The sequence below is a fragment of the Homo sapiens genome, chromosome 14 (assembly GCF_000001405.40).
Source record: "Homo sapiens chromosome 14, GRCh38.p14 Primary Assembly".
Taxonomy (NCBI): domain Eukaryota; kingdom Metazoa; phylum Chordata; class Mammalia; order Primates; family Hominidae; genus Homo; species Homo sapiens.
This window is the reverse complement of record NC_000014.9, coordinates 24,272,121-24,289,867: the sequence shown is the minus strand read 5'-3', so window position 1 is coordinate 24,289,867 and position 17,747 is coordinate 24,272,121. Positions and strand designations below refer to the sequence as shown.

Below are 17,747 nucleotides of genomic sequence, written 5' to 3'. Positions count from 1 at the left end.
GACCGTCCCCAGTTACTGTTCCAGTGGTAAGTGGAGTGGCTCACCAGCTTCTGAGAGCTTCTGATGCACATCTCTTCTAAGTCCTCATTCAGTGATTTCATGTGGTGTCTTGAATCAGCCATGGCGACAGTACATGTCCCATGAAAGTCCACAAATGCTACCAATCAAAGCTTTCTTTTAGAGAGAGGGCTGGCTTATCAGTACGTGACTGGTATAGAACCTTTGGAACTGTGTGCCTAAATGCCACCATTTGCTGTGGCAGCAGATCACAGTGATCAGATTCCCTCAGCACCTGCTCACCCTCTTCCACTTACCAGCCTAAATTCCTGTTATCTCCTGAGGTTGATGAGGAGCACAGGCAGTTGCCTATGTGGTATAAAAAGAAGATGGGCCTCAGGACCACCTCCAGCCTTCCACAGCCATCATTAAAATCCACCAATGGGGCTGGGCGTAGTAGTTTACACCTGTAATCTCAGTCCTTGGGAGGTTGAGGAAGGTGGATCGCTTGAGCCCAGAAGTTTGAGACCAACCTGGGCAACATAGGGAGACCCCATCTCTACAAAACAATTTTTTAAAGATTAGCTGGGGCCGGGCACAGTGGCTCACACCTGTAATCCCAGCACTTTGGGAGGCCGAGGCAGGTGGATCACGAGGTCAGGAGATCGAGACCATCCTGGCTAACATGATGAAACCTCGTCTCTACTAAAAATACAAAGAAAAAAAATTAGCTGGGCGTGGTGGCGGGCGTCTGTAGTCCTAGCTACTCGGGAGGCTGAGGCAGGAGAATGGCATGAACCCACCTCCCAGGAGGTTGCAGTGAGCCGAGATCGTGCCACTGCACTCCAGCCTGGGTGACTGAGCAAGACTCCATCTAAAAAAAAAAAAAATTAGCTGGGCGTGGTGGAATGCACCTGTGGTCCCACCTACTCAGGAGGCTAAGGTGGGAGGACTTGGTGAGCGTGATCACGCCACTACAGCCTGAGCAACAGAGTGAGACCCAGTCTCAAAAAAACAAAAAACAAACAAACAAAAACCACCATTGGAACAAAACTTTCCATGATGGCATTGTCTCCTAAATTCTCAAGATATTATGAGGGAAGCATGGACTTCAAACTCATATAAACTGTCATGCAAATCCTGACTCCACCACCTTGAGAATTAAATGAAATAATATATATACAGCATCAAGCAATACATAACCATCGAAATTGTCAATTCCTGGTCGGGCGCGGTGGCTCACGCCTATAATCCCAGCACTTTGGGAGGCTGACGCAGGCAGATCACGAGGCCAGGAGTTCGAGACCAGCCTGGCCAACATGGTGAAACCCCATCTCTAATAAAAATACAAAAACTAGCCAGGCATGGTGGAGCACGCCTCTAATCCCAGCTACTCGGGAGGCTGAGGCAGGAGAATCGCTTGAACCCGGAAGGCAGAGGTTGCAGTGAGCAGAGATTGCGCCACTGCACTCCAGCCTGGGTGACAGTGTGAGACTCCATCTCAAAAAAAAAAAAATTGTCAATTCCTTCTCTCAACAAATAAATCTAACAGCCTGCTCTGCACCAGGCACCATTCTTGGCTTCAGGATAGAACAGAGAGCAAGACAGACCAGGCCCCCGCCCACAAAAGACTTTCATTTCAGCCATGGGAGATTTTAGAAGTCATCTAGACCTTCCATTTATTGAAGGCAGTGAGTGAACTGGGACCCCAAGAGTCCATAAGATGTGGAGTAAGACCTCGGTCCTGGTATCCCAAGAAACCAGAAGGAATAGTGCTATTCACAGCAGACCACTGTGCTTCTCTCTGACAAGTTTCAGTCATCTTAGAAACATAAGCCACAGAGTACACCACCCAAGGGAATGGCACATGAACAGTCACTTTTGATTGAAGGTAGAAGAGATTCAGGATGTGGGAAGCCTGACACTAGAGAGCACTAGGACATTTTGGGGAATCAATACTCATTCAAAGACATTTGTTTTTTGAAACTCTCTGCCCAGCCCCATGCAAGACACCAGGGAAGACTAGTTGAATTTGGCTAGATGAGTGCTGCAGTAAACTACCCAGAGTGCCCTGAGGACACAGGAGGAAAGAAGCAGCATGCCTGGAGAACTGAGGAAGGGGGCGAGACTAACCAGACACATAAAGGATGGGCGAGGGGTGGAGGTGGGTTTTTTGTTTGTTTGTTTGTTTTTAAAGGCAGGTACTGAGACACAAAAGTAGCAGAACAGCTAGAAGTTTGATGTGGCTTAAATTTAGATTCAGTATGGAATACATTTCCAGAGAGAGAGTGGAGTAAAGATATATGACTGAGACTTAAATTGTGGGTGATAGGTTTCCACTGAGGATCCACCTTAGACCCTGAGTGATTTATGAAGTACTCCCAGGGAGACAAGTAAGCAGGGTTGGTGAAGCCAAGCACGAGCACCCTCTCAGCTGCAGAAAGCAGCTCTGGCATGATGCGAGGGAACAGCTTTGGTGTGTAAGGCCTCAGAATAGTTCCAGCCTGGGACAAGGTTTTTCTGGGCTTTTATTCCCACCAAAACTACCACCAGCAAATGGTGCTCAGTGACCACAGAGCAGTCACTGGGTACACTGCCACCCAGGGCAAAGCAGTCCAGGAGGCCAAAGGCAGTCCTCCAAGAAGGGCTGCAGGTGCCAGCCTTGAAAGCACAGAGTGGGGACCGGGCACGATGACTCACACCTGTAATCCCAGCACTTTTGGGAGGCAGAGGCGGGTGGGTCACTTGAGGTCAGGCATTCAAGACCAGCTTGGCCAACATGGTGAAACCCCATCTGCACTAAAAATACAAAAATTAGCCTGGTGTGGTGGCGTGCACCTGTAATCCCAGCTTCTCGGGAAGCTGAGGCAGGAGGATCGCTTGAACCCGGGAGGCAGAGGTTGCAGTGAGCTGAGATTGCGCCACTACACTCCAGCCTGGGCAACAGAGCAAGACTCTGTCTAAAAATAAAAATAGGCCGGGCGCGGTGGCTCACACACACCTGTAATCCCAGCACTTTGGGAGGCCGAGACGGGCGGATCACGAGGTCAGGAGATCGAGACCATCCTGGCTAACATGGTGAAACCCCGACTCTACTAAAAATACAAAAAAATAGCTGGGCATGGTGGCGGGCACCTGTAGTCCCAGCTACTCGGGAGGCTGAGGCAGGAGAATGGCGTGAACCTGGGAGGCAGAGCTTGCAGTGAGTCGAGATCGTGCCACTGCACTCCAGCCTGGGCGACAGAGCGAGACTCCGTCTCGAAAAAAATAAATAAATAAATAAAATAAAAATAAAAAATAATAAAAGAAAGGACAGAGTGAGGTGTCATGCACAAAAATGGAAAAAGAAAATTCAAGAGGGATCTGGGCCGAGCATTAACACTGTCAGCTGCAGGAGGATTTAAGCAGAAACGTAAAATCATCAGATTTGAATTTTGGAAGTTCACTGGGGCTGAGGTATGGGGAGGATGGACTAGAGGGAGGAGAGAGGCAGACACCAGAGGAGTAGCCAGAAGGCTGGCCCGCTATCAGTATCCCTGGGATGTGATGCAGTGAAGGTGTGAGCAGACGAGACATTGTAGGAGGCAGAGTCAACAGGGACCTGGGACTATTGTGGGACTGTGGTGGTGGTATCCCTGGCTTGAGGGATGCCATGAAACCAGCAACAGGCACAGAGAAAGAAAGAATGTGCCTGAGCAGTGAAGGAGAAGCCAGTGTGCCAGACGTAGCACTGATGGGGCACTGAGGGCCTGACCGAGATGCAGCCCCGCCCCAACTGAGGCAAGTCAAGGTTCTTGGCTGGTCCCTGAAGACGCTTAATTCCTCAAAGGAGCCCAGGGAAAGAAGAAGAGATTTTTGTTTTGCATTGTTAATTTTTTTTTTTTTTTGACAGTTTATCTTTGTTGCCCAGGCTGCATGCAGTGGCATGATCTTGGCTCACAGCCACCTCCACCTCCTGGGTTCAAGCAATTCTCATGCCTCAGCCTCCTGAGTAGCTGGGATTACAGGCGCCTGCCACCACGCCCAGCTAATTTTTTGTATTTTAGTAGAGACCGGGTTTCACCATCTTGCCCAGGCTGGTCTCGAACTTCTGAGCTCAGGCAATCTGCCTATCTCAGCCTCCCAAAGTACTAGGATTACAGGCACGTAATAAATTACCGTGCCCAGCCTGTTAATTTATATTTTTCAGAGGTAACACATTCACATGGCTCAGAATCCAAAAGGTATTGAAGGATGCACAGTGAAAAGTCTCCTCCTCATCCCTGCCCTCAGCCCGGAGGCAGCCAGTGCTACTGCATTCTTGGGTGGCCACAGAGACAGCCCATGCCTTACAAGCAAACATCTAAGATATTCAGAGAAGAGATTTGCTGCGTGCAAATCTGGGCCTCTCTCTCCAGCAGAGGAGTCATAATTTCCAGTCTCAGGCCCACTCTGGCCCTTGTGTCTAACACTTCTAAGTGCACCCAGAGCCCCCACCCCTTCCCAGGTCCTAATGCATCTGCTCCCACCACCAGAAACTTCCCTACCCCACCAACAGAGAGGGTAAGAGGAAAGTGTGACAGCTTAAATAGAGACTAATGACAGCAGAGAAGCAGTGTGAATGCCTAGAAGAGACCAGCCTGAGCGGCCTGGCCCAGCCCCAGTCTCCTCTAAGGATATGGACCCAAACATGGCTGTGAGATGCATGTCACATGGAGATGCCTCTTTCTAGAACAACTGCCCAAGGGTTGTGAGGTATCAAAATGAGGCTTTGGAGCCTCTATCCCCAGGTGTCCCCACTAATGTGAGCTTTGACTAACTGGCCTACATTAAACAGGAAGAGGATGGGTGCAGGGCTGGACCGAGGTATCAGTGACTCCAGGTTTACGGACAAGTCACTGAGGAGGAGTTTCCATCAGCTCCTGAAGTCCCCTTTGGGCCCATGAGTAGAAGGGGAGGTCAGGTCTCTGGCAGGCCAGGGAAGTGAGGAGACGATGTGAGTGACAGTGGGGTGCGATCCAGGCACAGAGAGTGAGGAGCACACACGAGGGCCCAGTGGACAAACCCAGGCAGGCGGCTGGGCCCAGGGCTGCCCTTTCCCTTTGTCACCCTGGCTCCTACCCACCCACGACCGCCAAAGGCCTTGGCCCTGTCTCTGAGGCATCTGTCTCCTACCACCCATGCCAAAGGCCTTGGCACTGTCGCTGAAGCATCTGGTCCCTTACACTTTTGGCCTCCCCATCCCTAGGGAGAGCCCCACCCATGACCTCAGAAGTCCTTTGCCGCAGCCCCTCCCCATCACCTCCAGTCCCTGGTCTTCCCCTCCTAGTTTGGCCCACCCTCCCCACCAAGCGCACTCCCCTGGGCCCTACTGCTCCCACCTTCTCAGGCTTCCCCTCCTTGCACTGCTCCTCCTGACCCCTCAGCCCTATCACCTGCCTGTGCTCACTGGCCCCTGTGCTCTAATCCCCTCTTTAACCCTCCATCTCCTGGTCAGCTGGTGTTTGTGCAGCCTCCTGTGTGCTCAGCACTGGGCAGGGCAGGGTGGACGGGTACAGGCAAGCCTTATGAGACAAAGGTCCAGCTCTCAAAGTGCTTCCAGTTGGCATCATGAAAACATTAGGCAACAATGGCAAGACCCAAGGTGGGGACTCAAAGGAGTGGGAGGGGTCGCCACAGCCAGGCACCTCCCTAGGCTGGACACAACTCTCGTTTCATCCAGGTTTCACCTTCCTGGGGGGTGACAGGACATTCTTATCCCTGCCTTTCTCTGTCAAGCCTCACCTCTGTCTCAGCTCCTGCCTGCAGGCAACCAAGAGCATCCTTGCCCCCTCAGTGTGTCCTGACTCCCTGCCTGACACTCCACTCAGTTCCCCCCAACACACATGCCCATGGGTGCCCTGGCCTAGGGGTCCTCCTCAGAGCCCCATGGCTGCTGGTTTAACTAGGCTGATGGGCCCCATGTTGAGCAGCAGAAGAGGCAGAAGTCACCTCAGGACTGAGCAGGGGCTAAGGAGGAGCACGGGCTGGGTCTTCTGCAGGTGGTATCGAAGAGAAATAGCAGATGTTAGTTAAAGCAGTGAAAGCAGGCTTTATTCAGTAACTACTGACAGTAGGGGAAAGAGCTGAGCTCCATTCTGATTTGTGCACAGGTGATCTGGGAGCTGTCAAGGGAGGAGGCAGGGGGTTAGCAAAGCCTCAGAGTGAATGGAATGAGGCCAGCTGTCTCTCTGTCTCTGGCTGGCATGTACCTAAGTTAGGGCTCTGTCCTTTATTTATTTATTTATTGAGGCAGGGTCTCACTCTGTAGCGTGAGCTGGAGTTCAGTGGGTGGTGCGATCTCAGCTCACTGCAACCTGTACCTCCCCAGCTCAAGGGATCCTCCCACCTCAGCCCCCTGAGTAGCTGGGACTATAGGAATGTACAACCATGCCTGGTTAAGTTTTTTTTTTTTTTTGTATTTTTAGTAGAGACAGAGTTTTGGCATGTTGCCCAAGCTGGTCTTGAACTCCTGGCCTCAAGTGATCTGCCCGCCTCAGCCTCCCAAAGTGCTGGGATTACAGCGTGAGCCACCATGCCTGGCCTTGATGACTAGATTTTAAAGGAAGACCTGATGCTTTTGAGTTGCAAGAGATACATATGTACAATGGCAAGCCATTTTGAGCCAAATGTTCTAAGAAAGTGAGGTCAGGGGCCTATCATCAGGTGTTGGCTGGAACAAATAATAAATTTTTCTGGCAGCACTGAGCTTTCTCAAGACAGCACTTTAAGAGGGGCTGGGGCCATCCTAGGGATACAGCCTTGTGCTGCTAAAAGCCAATCTAGAGTTGGTCAAGTCTCTTAGTTCAGAGGTTTGGACAGAGTTGTCATGTGCTGAGAGTTCTGCAGTTCTCAGTGGGATGCTGCTGCCCACTGCCCTCTGCTCCAAGCCTCCCGGGGAACTCAGCAGTGGGCCAGCTGTGGGGGCGAATAGTTTCCTCAGCCAGAGTCCAGGTGCAGGCTCAGGCTCAGCTTGAAGCAAGGCCAAGGGATCGCCAGCCACCTGGACTTAAATGCCAGCAGTGGAGAGGAACTGGAAGCTGCTTGTGCTTGATAGTGGTGAATCTGGAGGACATAAGGACCCTTCTGTAGACCCTTGAGAATGGAGGAGCCCATGAGGAATGCTGGGAAGTAGGCAAAGGGAGGAAGTGGGCCCGGCTTTGTGCAATTTCTATTAGCAAGTACCAACACATATGCCCCATATTGGTGAGTAAGGAGGTCTTGGCTACCTCCTCATTAGAGAGGCAGTTCCAGAAGAAACGCGCAAAGCCAGAACAGACACAGCCTGAGCATCCCTAGAGGGCCTCAAGCAAGAGGGAGCAAAGGTGCCTTGGCTTTGGCCCTTCACTGTCACATTAACACCCTATCATCAGAGACCTGTGTTATTGTAGGGGCTGAGAGAATTCAGGTTTATTGGGCACCTGCAACGCCCAAACACTCTACCTAGGCCCTACTCTTTTCATCTGCCACATGAGGTAAGTACTCTTTTACAGCTGAGGAAACTGAGGCTCAGAAATTCTAAGTAACTTATCCAGGATTGCAAGGCTTTACAGCGAGAGTCTGGATTCGACCAAATCTGTATAACTCTGCATAAAAGTGTGAGCTCTTTCCCCTGCATCATGCTGCTTCTGCTTTCTTGTGTCTGGTTTTGTTTGGTTTGGTTTTTGAGACAGAGTCTCACTCTGTTGCCCAGGCTGGAGTGCAGTGGCGCTATCTCGGCTCACTACAACCTCCGCCTCCTGGGTTCAGCAATTCTCCTGTCTCAGCCTCCCCAGTAGCATGGAATTACATCATGCCTGGCTAATTTTTGTATTTTTAGTAGAGACGGGGTTTCCCAGGCTGGTCTCAAGCTCCTGGCCTCAAGTGATCCGCCCGCCTTGGCCTCCCAAAATGCTGGGATTACAGGCGTGAGCCACTGTGCCGGCCTCTGGTTTGGTTTTGACTTTGGAGGCCTTCTACTTTGGGTAGAGGAAGGGTTGGGGACTGGGCAGAATGGTGAAAGCTTTCCCAAGCTCACCCAGCCTAAGTTCCTCTTGGCCACATTGAGCCTTACTCTTCCCTAAACTTGACCACACTCCCTTTCCTCTGCGCCTTTGCTCCAGCTGTTCTGATCTCTGGATTACTGCTCATTCTTTCACCCAGCCCCCAACCCCATTTTGCCTGCCAGAATTCATCCAGCCAGGCCCATCTCAACCTCCTAGAAGTTTCTCCTGGCGTCTTCTACCCTTGCTTTGCCCGCTTCCAGGGAACCTCTTACTATGAAATTCACTTGGCTCTTGACTAGTGTTAGAGCCATAGATGTCTTCATCCATTTCCTGGATAAGGATGACTCCTTCCCAAAGTTAGGGATTAGGTCTTGAACCCTTCATCCCCCATTCTCCTGCTGTCTCCTTCCCCATGCACAGAAACTTTGAAACCTTCAGCACAGAACTGCACAGTACCTGGGGCAAACCCAGAGTGTGGCTGAACTCACAGGCCCAGTGAGACCAATTGGTGAGAGCTCCACCCTTCCTCCCTGAGGGGAGGTATGCTGGGCCAGCCATGGCAGTGTCTGTATCCCAGGACTGACCCTCTAAGGACTCATTGATCCCTGCTATCCATCGGTCCTTGGCCTCGGCCCCACACACCACACCTCAGCCTCAAAACCCCCGCTCAGGGGCCTAAGAGAGAATTTCCCAACAGGGCTGCCAGCAGTGGGAGCCTTGGATGCCTCTGTAGGGCTACTCCAGGTCCTCCCTGCCCCTCTTCCCCTCAGTGTTCTTTGCCAGGCACAGAGCTCAAGCCTGAGTCATGATTGGGCCCACAGGGGACTCAGGAACACAGCATTGCTCCTGTCAGCAGTTCCAGGCATTCTCCTTTACACTGAATTCTGAGCTTCGGAACCACTCCCTGTCCACTCCCTCCCGGTGCTGCGAGGCCTGGCCCTACAGCCTGGAGTGCAGCCACCCCTGACCAAGCTCCCTGCCCTGGGCTCTAAGATCCCCAACTCCTCCTCCTCATCTCCCACCCCAGCCCAGTGGGTGGGTGCCTCCATGGCTCACCATTTATTCATTCATTCATTCTTTCCCAACTAGTCTCAATACCCTGTTTCATTTCCCTCAGGGGCACTTAGATTCCCTGAAATTGTCTTAGGTGTGTATTTGCTCCTACAGGGACTGTCTCCCCAACTATAATGTAAGCCCTATGACAGCAGGGACCTTGTCTGTCTTGGTCACCACTGTATATTGAGCTGTACTGGCGCTCAATAATTGTTGGTTGATAATTGACTGGCTAAATTATGTTAACGTTAGTTGAGCAACCACCATGGTGCAGGCACCTTGCTAGGTGAGAGGAAATGCAGTCAAATGAGTCCCCTTGGGTAGGTAGTTCACAGCAGGAGCAGAAGTGGGGCGCTGCACCCACAGGATGAGCTATAATGCAGGCACCACAGGACCTGGTGCTGAGAGGAACAGAAGAGGCACTTGACCGAGCCCCAAGCCAGGGCTTCTGCTCACCTACAGCCCCAGCTCCCACTCACTTCCTTTAGGAAGCCCACCCCCATTCTCAGACAGGGCAGCTCCCCATCAGGTGCTCACCCAGCACCATATGCCTCTCCATAAAGGCAGAGCAGTTGACAGAGTTGTCCTTCTACATTTGCTTATGTGATTATTTCCATCATCCAGAAAGTTCGATTAAACAGCCCAGGGCTAGCCTGTATGCTCAGTGAGGCAGGGACTTTGTCTGTGCTCTGCTCACTGTCGCAGCCCCCACCCTAGCGTGGATCAGGCACAGAGGGCCCTCAGTCAGTATTTGTTGGATGGATGAATGGGACAGGGAAAGGGCGAGGCCTGAGTGCTCCCCCAAAAGGAGCGGTTCCTCTTTCCTCCCCTAGAGGAGTATGTCCTTAGCCCCCTGTGTTCATCTACCAGCGACAGCATCCCATCCTTCCCCAGGACCCACAGTCTCACTTTGTTCCACAGCTTCTGCTTCTCACTTGACATAGAACGTCAGGGCTTCTGCCTCCTGGTACCACTCACATCATATATGCCCAAAACCGAATGTGATGGTGCCCCCTGCAGCTGGGCAGCAGCCTTGCCAGGCAGTGAGCTTCTTGGCTACATTCCCACCTCCACCAGTGCTCTGGGCAATTTTTAGCCAACATGTCATTATCATCACCAGTCACCATGCAGTGCCTGGCTCCTGTCACAGAGGCTTCAGTTCTGGCTGGCTCAAGAAGTTTTTCCAGCTTTTCAACACCATTTCTTGGTTGCTTTTCCCTCAACTCTTCCCCAAGAGACGCCAACCTGAGTCAGTACCCACCACACCCTGGGAGAGTTAGAATGCTCTTGTGGGGACTTTCCCTCTGGGGCCCTTCTGTCTTTTAGGGCAACCTTGGGGACCTGCCCTCCCTTCTCACTGGCTAACCTGTTTCGTCTTCTTCCCCAGCCAGGAAGTGTGCTACAGGCACGTGGCAACCCCCATGGGCCATCAAGCAATTTCCCCAGCCTGACTCAGAAGGAACTGGGGAGCAGGGAGAAGAGAAAGAATGCAAGCATTCAAACCAAGTGTCCAAGGAATGGTCAGTTGTGGGGAATGGGCAGTGGAGAGGATCTTCTTGGGCTCTGAGTTACTCTAGTCCCCTGCTCCATCCCAGGGATCAGCATCTTTCAGAACTTCAGAGTGGAGAGACTCTGGTCTCTGAATGTCCACTACTACGTTCTCACAAAGTGGTTGACCAACATATGCTTGAATGCCTCCCACCTCTCATTGAGGCCCATTCTACCTTTGGTAGAATAATTAGCTTTAATTATTAGAAAGTCCTTCCTCATAAAGGATCTACATCCACTCTCTGGTCTTTGGTCTTTGCTCTCAAGATATGCAGAATCAATTCGGTTTCTATTCCAGGAGTTGAAAGACCATTATCATCTGCCCCTTGAATCTTCTCTCCCAGTTCAGTATCTTCATGTCTTCCCTGTGGTCATGGGCTCTTCTCACCATCCTGATTTCTACCTCTGGACTCTACAGTTTGTCTCTGTCCCTCTCAAAATGGGCCACACACTCCTCACAGGGTTTGACTCTCACAGAGTCTGGGGCCTATGAGCCCCATTGTTCTGGGTACTAAAGCTCTCTTAGTGCATCCCAAAGTCATGTTAGTGCTTTTGGCAAGCAGATCACAGTCAATTCTTTCCAATCTCTTATCAGCCAGAGTCCTCCTGTCTTCATACACTATCGTTATTCCACCCCTCACGTATCTCACTCTTGTGCAGCTGATTATCTGAAGACCAAAGAACCAGAGTGTAATTCTGTCCCTATTCAATACCACATGACAAATCTGGCCCAACAATCTCACCAGACGCCATCATCCAGTATTCCTCCCAATTATGTGCAAGTGACCTTCGATTATGAGAGTGGCATCTGTGCTCATCCCACGTCACTGAAAAAGTGCCATCACTAGGGACCTCCCTCCAGGTTGACAAAGACACATTAATTCATATTATTTGGTGATGGATGTCCTATCCGTTACAACCATATCTACTATCCCACCAGCACCCCCACAGTTCACCATTTTGTTGCTCAACATATCCTAAGATAGAGCTGATGGGTGCAAAAGCACTAAGATAGTCATTTGAAAACCTGGTTTCCAAACCTGGCCCCACCTCCAGGTATGTGACTTCACTGGCCCCACCTCCGGGTATGTGACTTCACTGAGTATCTCTGGGCTGCTGGGGATCCATCATGCCCTGTCTCGCTATAACGCTGTGCTCTGCGATGGTCAGAGTTATAAAGAATCAGGAAGCTGGGGGCAGAGGAAGTCCCTGTTGCAAGAGATAAGAATTGGGCACTTCTGCTTGTGCCATGGGGAAGCTTCAACTCTGCTATCACTGACACGTGGCAGGCACCCAGCGCTGCTCTTCCCCTTTCATTTTCTTGACCCCAACTTGTGCTGGGACTCAGATTTCCCAATATTTGATTTCATCTGGGTCCCAAGATTAGATCCAGACCATCTGGCCTGAGTTGCCTCCCCTTGCTGGCCCCGCTTCCCCACAAGGCCAGCATCCAGCACCCCCACCCAAGATTCCCAGAGGTCTCTGGATGCCTCCTTCCACCCTCCTCCCACAGTCCTGGCCCTGGCCGGCTCCAGCAAAGCATGGTGGGCAAGGCTGGAGGGAAAGCCAGCAAGAAAGCGTCTTCTGGAATCAGCCTGAGCACAAGGCCAGGCTTTATTGCTTCTGGCTGTGCGGCCTCGGGCAGAGCTTCAGTTTCTTGCCATCATGGCTATAAAGTATTCAGTCATTATAATTTCTCATTAATTATGGCTTCGGGAGCACAGAAGTTCTCCTCTCTTCGTTGTCCATTTCTTCTTTTGCCCTCCACTGAGGCTTCTCCACCCCACACCCTCAGCCCTGCCCTCACCACGCTCTATCAAAGCTTGTTTGTGGGTTCCCTCACCTCCCCTCTCCCCAGAGCACCCATTCTCTGCTGGGTGTAATGACTACCTGCGCACACCTGACGCCCACGCTGACTTCTTCTGCCTTGACCTCTCAGCCTCTCTCCAGGCAAGGATTTCTTGTTGCCTCAGGACATCTCCACATCAAAACCAAACATGTGAGAAGTAGCCCTTCCTCTTCTCATGCAACCATCCCTCCCCACGCCCATGTTCTAGGACCTCTGTGGACACCACAAATTCTCAAGTCCTCAGCTTTACAACTGCAAGCCTTCCTCCCAGTTCCCTTCGTCCCTGCATCTTAGTCTCACCTGCTACCAAATCCTGCCTACTGGTCCTCAGAAATAGTCCTTCTCCATCCTCACTCTCCATGCCCACTGCCCCCCCACAGCCACAGGGACATTCATGTGGATTCTAGGTTCTGCCAGATCATCCCTGAAGAGGGGGTTTTCTAACCTCCTTCCCCACATTTACCTCCGTTCTGTGTCTCCCGTCCCCCACTAAACCTTTTACCCATACCTGTGTCTGGGAGAGTTTTAAAATAGGAGGATCAGAGCTGCACATCTGTGATTTGTGCACTTTCAGTATAATACATTATGCCTCAGTGACAAGTTTTATAGAAGAATAGAGTAAGCATCAAAAGTTAAACAGAAAAAAATGTAAACCGTTACAATCACCAGATCTAAAACAAGTTCTTCTTAACCTGAGTCTGGGTGAGGTGTCCCTTCTGTGGGCCCTCATGGGCCCCTGTCCTACTCCATCTTACGTGTCTCACCCAAGAGACCTGCTCTGTCCAATACTAGCCACTAGCCCCATGCAGTTATTTACATTTAAATTAGGCCAGGTGCGGTGGCTCATGCCTGCAGTCCCAGCACTTTGGGAGGCTGAGGCAGGATGATTGCTTGGAGGCCAGGAGTTGGAGACCAGCCTGGGCAATATAGAAAGATCCTGTCTCTAAAAATAATTTTTTTTTAAATTTGCCAGGCATGGGCTAATTTTTAAAAATTAGCTGGGTGTGTGCCTGTAGTCCCACCTATTTTTTTTTTTTTTTTGAGACCGAGTCTTGCTCTGTTTCCCAGGCTAGAGTGCAGTGGCATGACCTCAGCTCACTGCAACCTCCACCTCCTAGGCTCAAACGATTCTCCTGCCTCAGCCTCCCATGTAGCTGGGACTACAGGCACGTACCACCACGCCCAGCTAATTTTTGTATTTTTAGTAGAGATGGCATTTCACTGTGTTGGACAGGCTGGTCTCCAACTCCTGACCTCAAGTGATCCGCCTGCCTCGGCCTCCCAAAGTGCTGGGACTACAGCACTACAGCATTACAGCTGGCCCGTGGCCAAAAAAAAATTTTTAAGTTAATTAAAATGAAAAAAAATGAAAAATTCAGTTCCTCAATTGCACTAGGCACATTTCAAGCGCTTAGCAGTCACATGGGGCTACTGTCAACCGTGTTAGATGACACAGATACCAAACACTTCCATTGTCACAGAAAGTTCTATCGGACAGTGCTACACGCCACTGTAAGCTCTGGAAGACAGAGACTTGTCTTTCTGGTCCACTACTGGATCCCTGGCACCCAACATGCTGTGAGGCCCAGCACTGATGCTGAACATCAAGAGACTGAATAAATGCACACACTACCACACACTGCACATGGCCCGGAGACAGCTCCATTACCTGTCTCGCACTTGCTCCCCCTGCCGTCAGACCATGGCTTCTAGCCAAGCTTTGACCCAGGGCCCTGGCCCAGGGCCCTGACCCAGGGCTCGTGGCCCCCTTTCCTCCCTCCAGACTCTCTGGTCTGTGACGGGCTCAGGGTCCTGGAGCCATTGTAAGTGACTATGTGTGTGTGCTTCTGTGTATGTATGTTGGGAGCAGGAGTAGAGAAAGAATTGGCAGGGGTGGAAAGACGCCAGGGTTCCAGGTCTCAAGAAACTCAGGTTCAGGCCTCTGGCAATGGTCACTCTCACCTATACAGCCGACTCAATTCTGAATCTCGAAGATGTGTGACTTTGGACAAGAAACTAACCTCTGCAAACCCACTGTATTCCCTGTTGCTTCATTGTAAAATATGGATAATACCTATTTCATATAGGTAGTGAGTGCAGTAAATAAGATGTCTGGGGCTCTGTTGATACTCAATTACTGTTTGTTTCTTTCTATACATAGAGGGCAGTAAAAATCTCTTCTTCAAACATCATTTAGATTGTGGCTTTCAGGGCACGGTGGCTCACGCCTATAATCCCAGCACTTTGGGAGGCCGAGGCAGGCAGCTCACCTGAGGTCGGGAGTTCAAGACCAGCCTGACCAACAAGGAGAAACCCTGTCTCTACAAAAAATACAAAATTAGCTGGGCATGGTGGTGCATGCCTGTAATCCCAGCTACTCGGGAGACTGAGGCAGGAGAATCGCTTGAACCCGGGAGGCACAAGTTGCAGTGAGCCAAGATGGTGCCATTGCATCATTCCAGCCTGGGCAACAAAAGCAAAATTTGTCTCAAAAAAAAAAAAAAAAAAAAAGCCGGACATGGTGGCTCACGCCTGTAATCCTAGCACTTTGGGAGGCCGAGGCAGGCAGATCACGAGGTCAGGAGATCGAGACCATCCTGGCTAACAAGGTGAAACCCCGTCTCTACTAAAAATACAAAAAATTAGCTGGGCAGGGTGGCAGGCGCCTGTAGTCCCAGCTACTCAGGAGGCTGAGGCAGGAGAATGGCATGAACCTGGGAGGCAGAGCTGGCAGTGAGCAGACACCGCACCACTACTCCAGCGTGGGTGACAGAACGAGACTCCGTCTCAAAAAAAAAAAAAAAAGATTGTGGCTCTCAGACACCTGCATGGTTCCCACTTATCCCACATAGGAGGCCAAATATAACTCCTGACAACTCCTTTTGCCTTCAAGCAAGAGGCTTATTATCATCAGTTCCACTGCTCTTATCTCCAAAGGCACCTGGCTCAGCCTCTCTGTGCCAGCCAGCTAAGTTAGTTTGGCTTTCTCTCCCCCACCTTCACGTCATATTACATACCTGAAATACCCTTCCTGCCCGCTCTTTCCAAAACTCAAGCCCTGCCTTCTCTGATGCAGATTTTTTCATGAGACTCACTTCCTCTCTTAAGCCTGCTTGACTCAACCTTCCCAGTTTCAAGATTGCTAATCACAATGTGATTAGTGACTATGATGCAAGGCTGTACCTGGCAAATCTGCACTTGAGGGCATCTGTGTTCCCAAGTATCTGGTTGCGCCTATGAGTGTGCACAGAGCAGGAAGCTAGAGAAGGAGGTGACCACCAACAAAAGAAGGCTGGTGGTGAGGTGGGAGGGCTGGACCAGACTAGACACAGGTCCCATTTGGCCACTTATTACATGGGTGGCCCTCAACAAGTTACTTAATCTTTCTGAGCCTCAGCTTCCTATTACTATACTGAGCCCTTACTTAGTACAGACACTATTCTAAGCACTTTACATAGATTCTTTTATTTCAGCTTAACTTCAACAGATTAACTTCAACTGCAGCAGCTAGATAATATTTTTCCTATGTTACTGTTGAAGAAATTCAGACATAGAGGAAACGCAATACAGAAGTTAAGTAACTTGCCCCAGGTCACACTGGGACAAGCAAGTGGCAAAGCTAGGATTTGTAGCCAGGCAGTCTGGCTCCAGGATCCATGTTCTTAATCACTCTGCTTACTGCCTCCTACCTGTAATTCTGTGTGTGTGCACATCCCTCCTATGTATGCAAAACTCCCATCACAGTGGCTGGCACAAAGAGAACCAATAAATGGCTTAACTCTTTCCTCACTGGGACTACAAATACACAGGGATAGGAAAAATGTCTCTTTTCGAGAATTTGTTATAGGATCTAGGAAAGGACAAGTATATAATGGACACTTTACATACATTTCCAGGGGCTGAGAGAGGTGTGAAGGATATATAAAGATTTAAAGCACTGGCGGGGCATGGTGGCTCACACCTGTAATCCCAGCACTCTGGGAGGCCAAGGTGGGCAGATCACCTGAAGTCAGGAGTTTGAGACCAGCCTGGCCAACATGGTGAAACCCCGTCTCTTCTAAAACTACAAAAATCAGTCGGGTGTGGTGGTGCATGCCTGTAGTCCCAGCTACTCCAGAGGCTGAGGCAGGAGAATCGCTTGAACCCAGGAGGCAGAGGTTGCAGTAAGCAGAGATCGTGCCACTGCACTCCTGCCTGGGCAACAGAGTGAGACCCTGTCTCAAAAAAAAAAAAAAAAAAAATTTAAAGCACTACCTTCTTACCCAGGTGTGAGTTATAAACACACACATGCCACATGGACACACTATTCGCAAAGACATCACACACGTGTACGTGTGGTACACACACACTCACTAGCCACCCTGAACCTCATAAAGGCTCCACCAGAAAACCTTCTTTGCAGTAGGCACAGGGAAAAAAATCACAGTCTTTAAAAGTACATATGAAGGTCTATCAAATCAGACTGGGGCATTTTAGAGAACTTCCTCGAGGTGCCACTTGAGTTACATTTTTTTTTCTTTGTACTGTGGAGTTCAAAAAGTTAAATCTTAAAGATAAACAGGAATTACTGTGGCAAAGGAGGAGTGTGGAGAAAGGAGAGTCAAGAGGGAACAGGCTAACATATTTAGGAAACTGCAAGTATTTCTGTAGGCTGTCATGAAGAGTTTTTGGCAGGGTCAGGCAGGATATACAGCCAGAGAGTAGGCAGAGCCCAAATGCCAATAGGTCTGATGTGCTGAGCTGAGAGATTACAATTCTATCCTGAAAAGGAGCCACTCAGCACTTTTAGGCACAGATATGACGTCAAATCTGCATTTTAGAAAAATGGATTCAGTAGCACAGAGGATGGACTGATAACAAGGGATGAGGTGGAGAACACTGAAAAGACTTTCAACAATCTGGAGAAGAAATTCGGAGTTTGAACTCCTAGTGGCAGTGGGAAGAGAAAGAGTATTTAAGCGAGTTTAAGAAGTGAGGAGGAAATAGTGCCATTCACTACAATAGAAAACATAAAGGCCAATGTTTAGACAGGATGGATGAAAGATAATTTATACCTTTTGGCTTTTGGAGTTTGAGGTGTCTCTGGGACACCAGGTGATATCCAACAGGTGTTTGAATATGTATGTGCATGTATATTATTTATTGTTATTTAAGCTTGCAAGACATCTGGGCTGGAGATATAAATTTGGGTGTCATCAATTTACAGGTAGTAATTAAAACAATGAGTGTGGATGAACTCACCCAGAGAAAGTGTAATGCCAGATTTGTGGGCCAAAACAGCTCTGAGGAGCTCCAAC

The 17,747-nt window shown here is 50.0% G+C and overlaps 1 protein-coding gene across 5 annotated transcripts in view, besides 9 other annotated features; it reads right to left on the bottom strand.

The window, feature by feature from the left end:
* The window catches only part of NOP9 (NOP9 nucleolar protein), a 37,922-nt gene that overhangs the window by 19,257 nt on the left and 918 nt on the right, over window positions 1-17,747 (bottom strand). The gene's annotated exons all lie outside the window — the stretch shown is intronic.
* Window positions 141-190: an enhancer, noted in NCBI's record as "active region_8213". NCBI's record gives its function as "activates an Ori minimal core promoter by ATAC-STARR-seq in GM12878 lymphoblastoid cells {active_cell/tissue: GM12878}" and the evidence as "EXISTENCE:reporter gene assay evidence [ECO:0000049][PMID:35858748]".
* Window positions 221-270: an enhancer, noted in NCBI's record as "active region_8212". NCBI's record gives its function as "activates an Ori minimal core promoter by ATAC-STARR-seq in GM12878 lymphoblastoid cells {active_cell/tissue: GM12878}" and the evidence as "EXISTENCE:reporter gene assay evidence [ECO:0000049][PMID:35858748]".
* Window positions 9,854-9,933: an enhancer, noted in NCBI's record as "active region_8211". NCBI's record gives its function as "activates an Ori minimal core promoter by ATAC-STARR-seq in GM12878 lymphoblastoid cells {active_cell/tissue: GM12878}" and the evidence as "EXISTENCE:reporter gene assay evidence [ECO:0000049][PMID:35858748]".
* Window positions 10,274-10,423: an enhancer, noted in NCBI's record as "active region_8210". NCBI's record gives its function as "activates an Ori minimal core promoter by ATAC-STARR-seq in GM12878 lymphoblastoid cells {active_cell/tissue: GM12878}" and the evidence as "EXISTENCE:reporter gene assay evidence [ECO:0000049][PMID:35858748]".
* Window positions 10,981-11,211: a silencer, noted in NCBI's record as "fragment chr14:24747863-24748093 (GRCh37/hg19 assembly coordinates)". NCBI's record gives its function as "represses an EF-1alpha promoter that drives an FKBP-Casp9 reporter gene in an ReSE screen in phorbol 12-myristate 13-acetate-treated (for megakaryocytic differentiation) K562 erythroleukemia cells {active_cell/tissue: K562(+PMA)}" and the evidence as "EXISTENCE:reporter gene assay evidence [ECO:0000049][PMID:32094911]".
* Window positions 15,176-15,275: an enhancer, noted in NCBI's record as "active region_8209". NCBI's record gives its function as "activates an Ori minimal core promoter by ATAC-STARR-seq in GM12878 lymphoblastoid cells {active_cell/tissue: GM12878}" and the evidence as "EXISTENCE:reporter gene assay evidence [ECO:0000049][PMID:35858748]".
* Window positions 15,366-15,465: an enhancer, noted in NCBI's record as "active region_8208". NCBI's record gives its function as "activates an Ori minimal core promoter by ATAC-STARR-seq in GM12878 lymphoblastoid cells {active_cell/tissue: GM12878}" and the evidence as "EXISTENCE:reporter gene assay evidence [ECO:0000049][PMID:35858748]".
* Window positions 15,816-15,945: an enhancer, noted in NCBI's record as "active region_8207". NCBI's record gives its function as "activates an Ori minimal core promoter by ATAC-STARR-seq in GM12878 lymphoblastoid cells {active_cell/tissue: GM12878}" and the evidence as "EXISTENCE:reporter gene assay evidence [ECO:0000049][PMID:35858748]".
* Window positions 15,986-16,045: an enhancer, noted in NCBI's record as "active region_8206". NCBI's record gives its function as "activates an Ori minimal core promoter by ATAC-STARR-seq in GM12878 lymphoblastoid cells {active_cell/tissue: GM12878}" and the evidence as "EXISTENCE:reporter gene assay evidence [ECO:0000049][PMID:35858748]".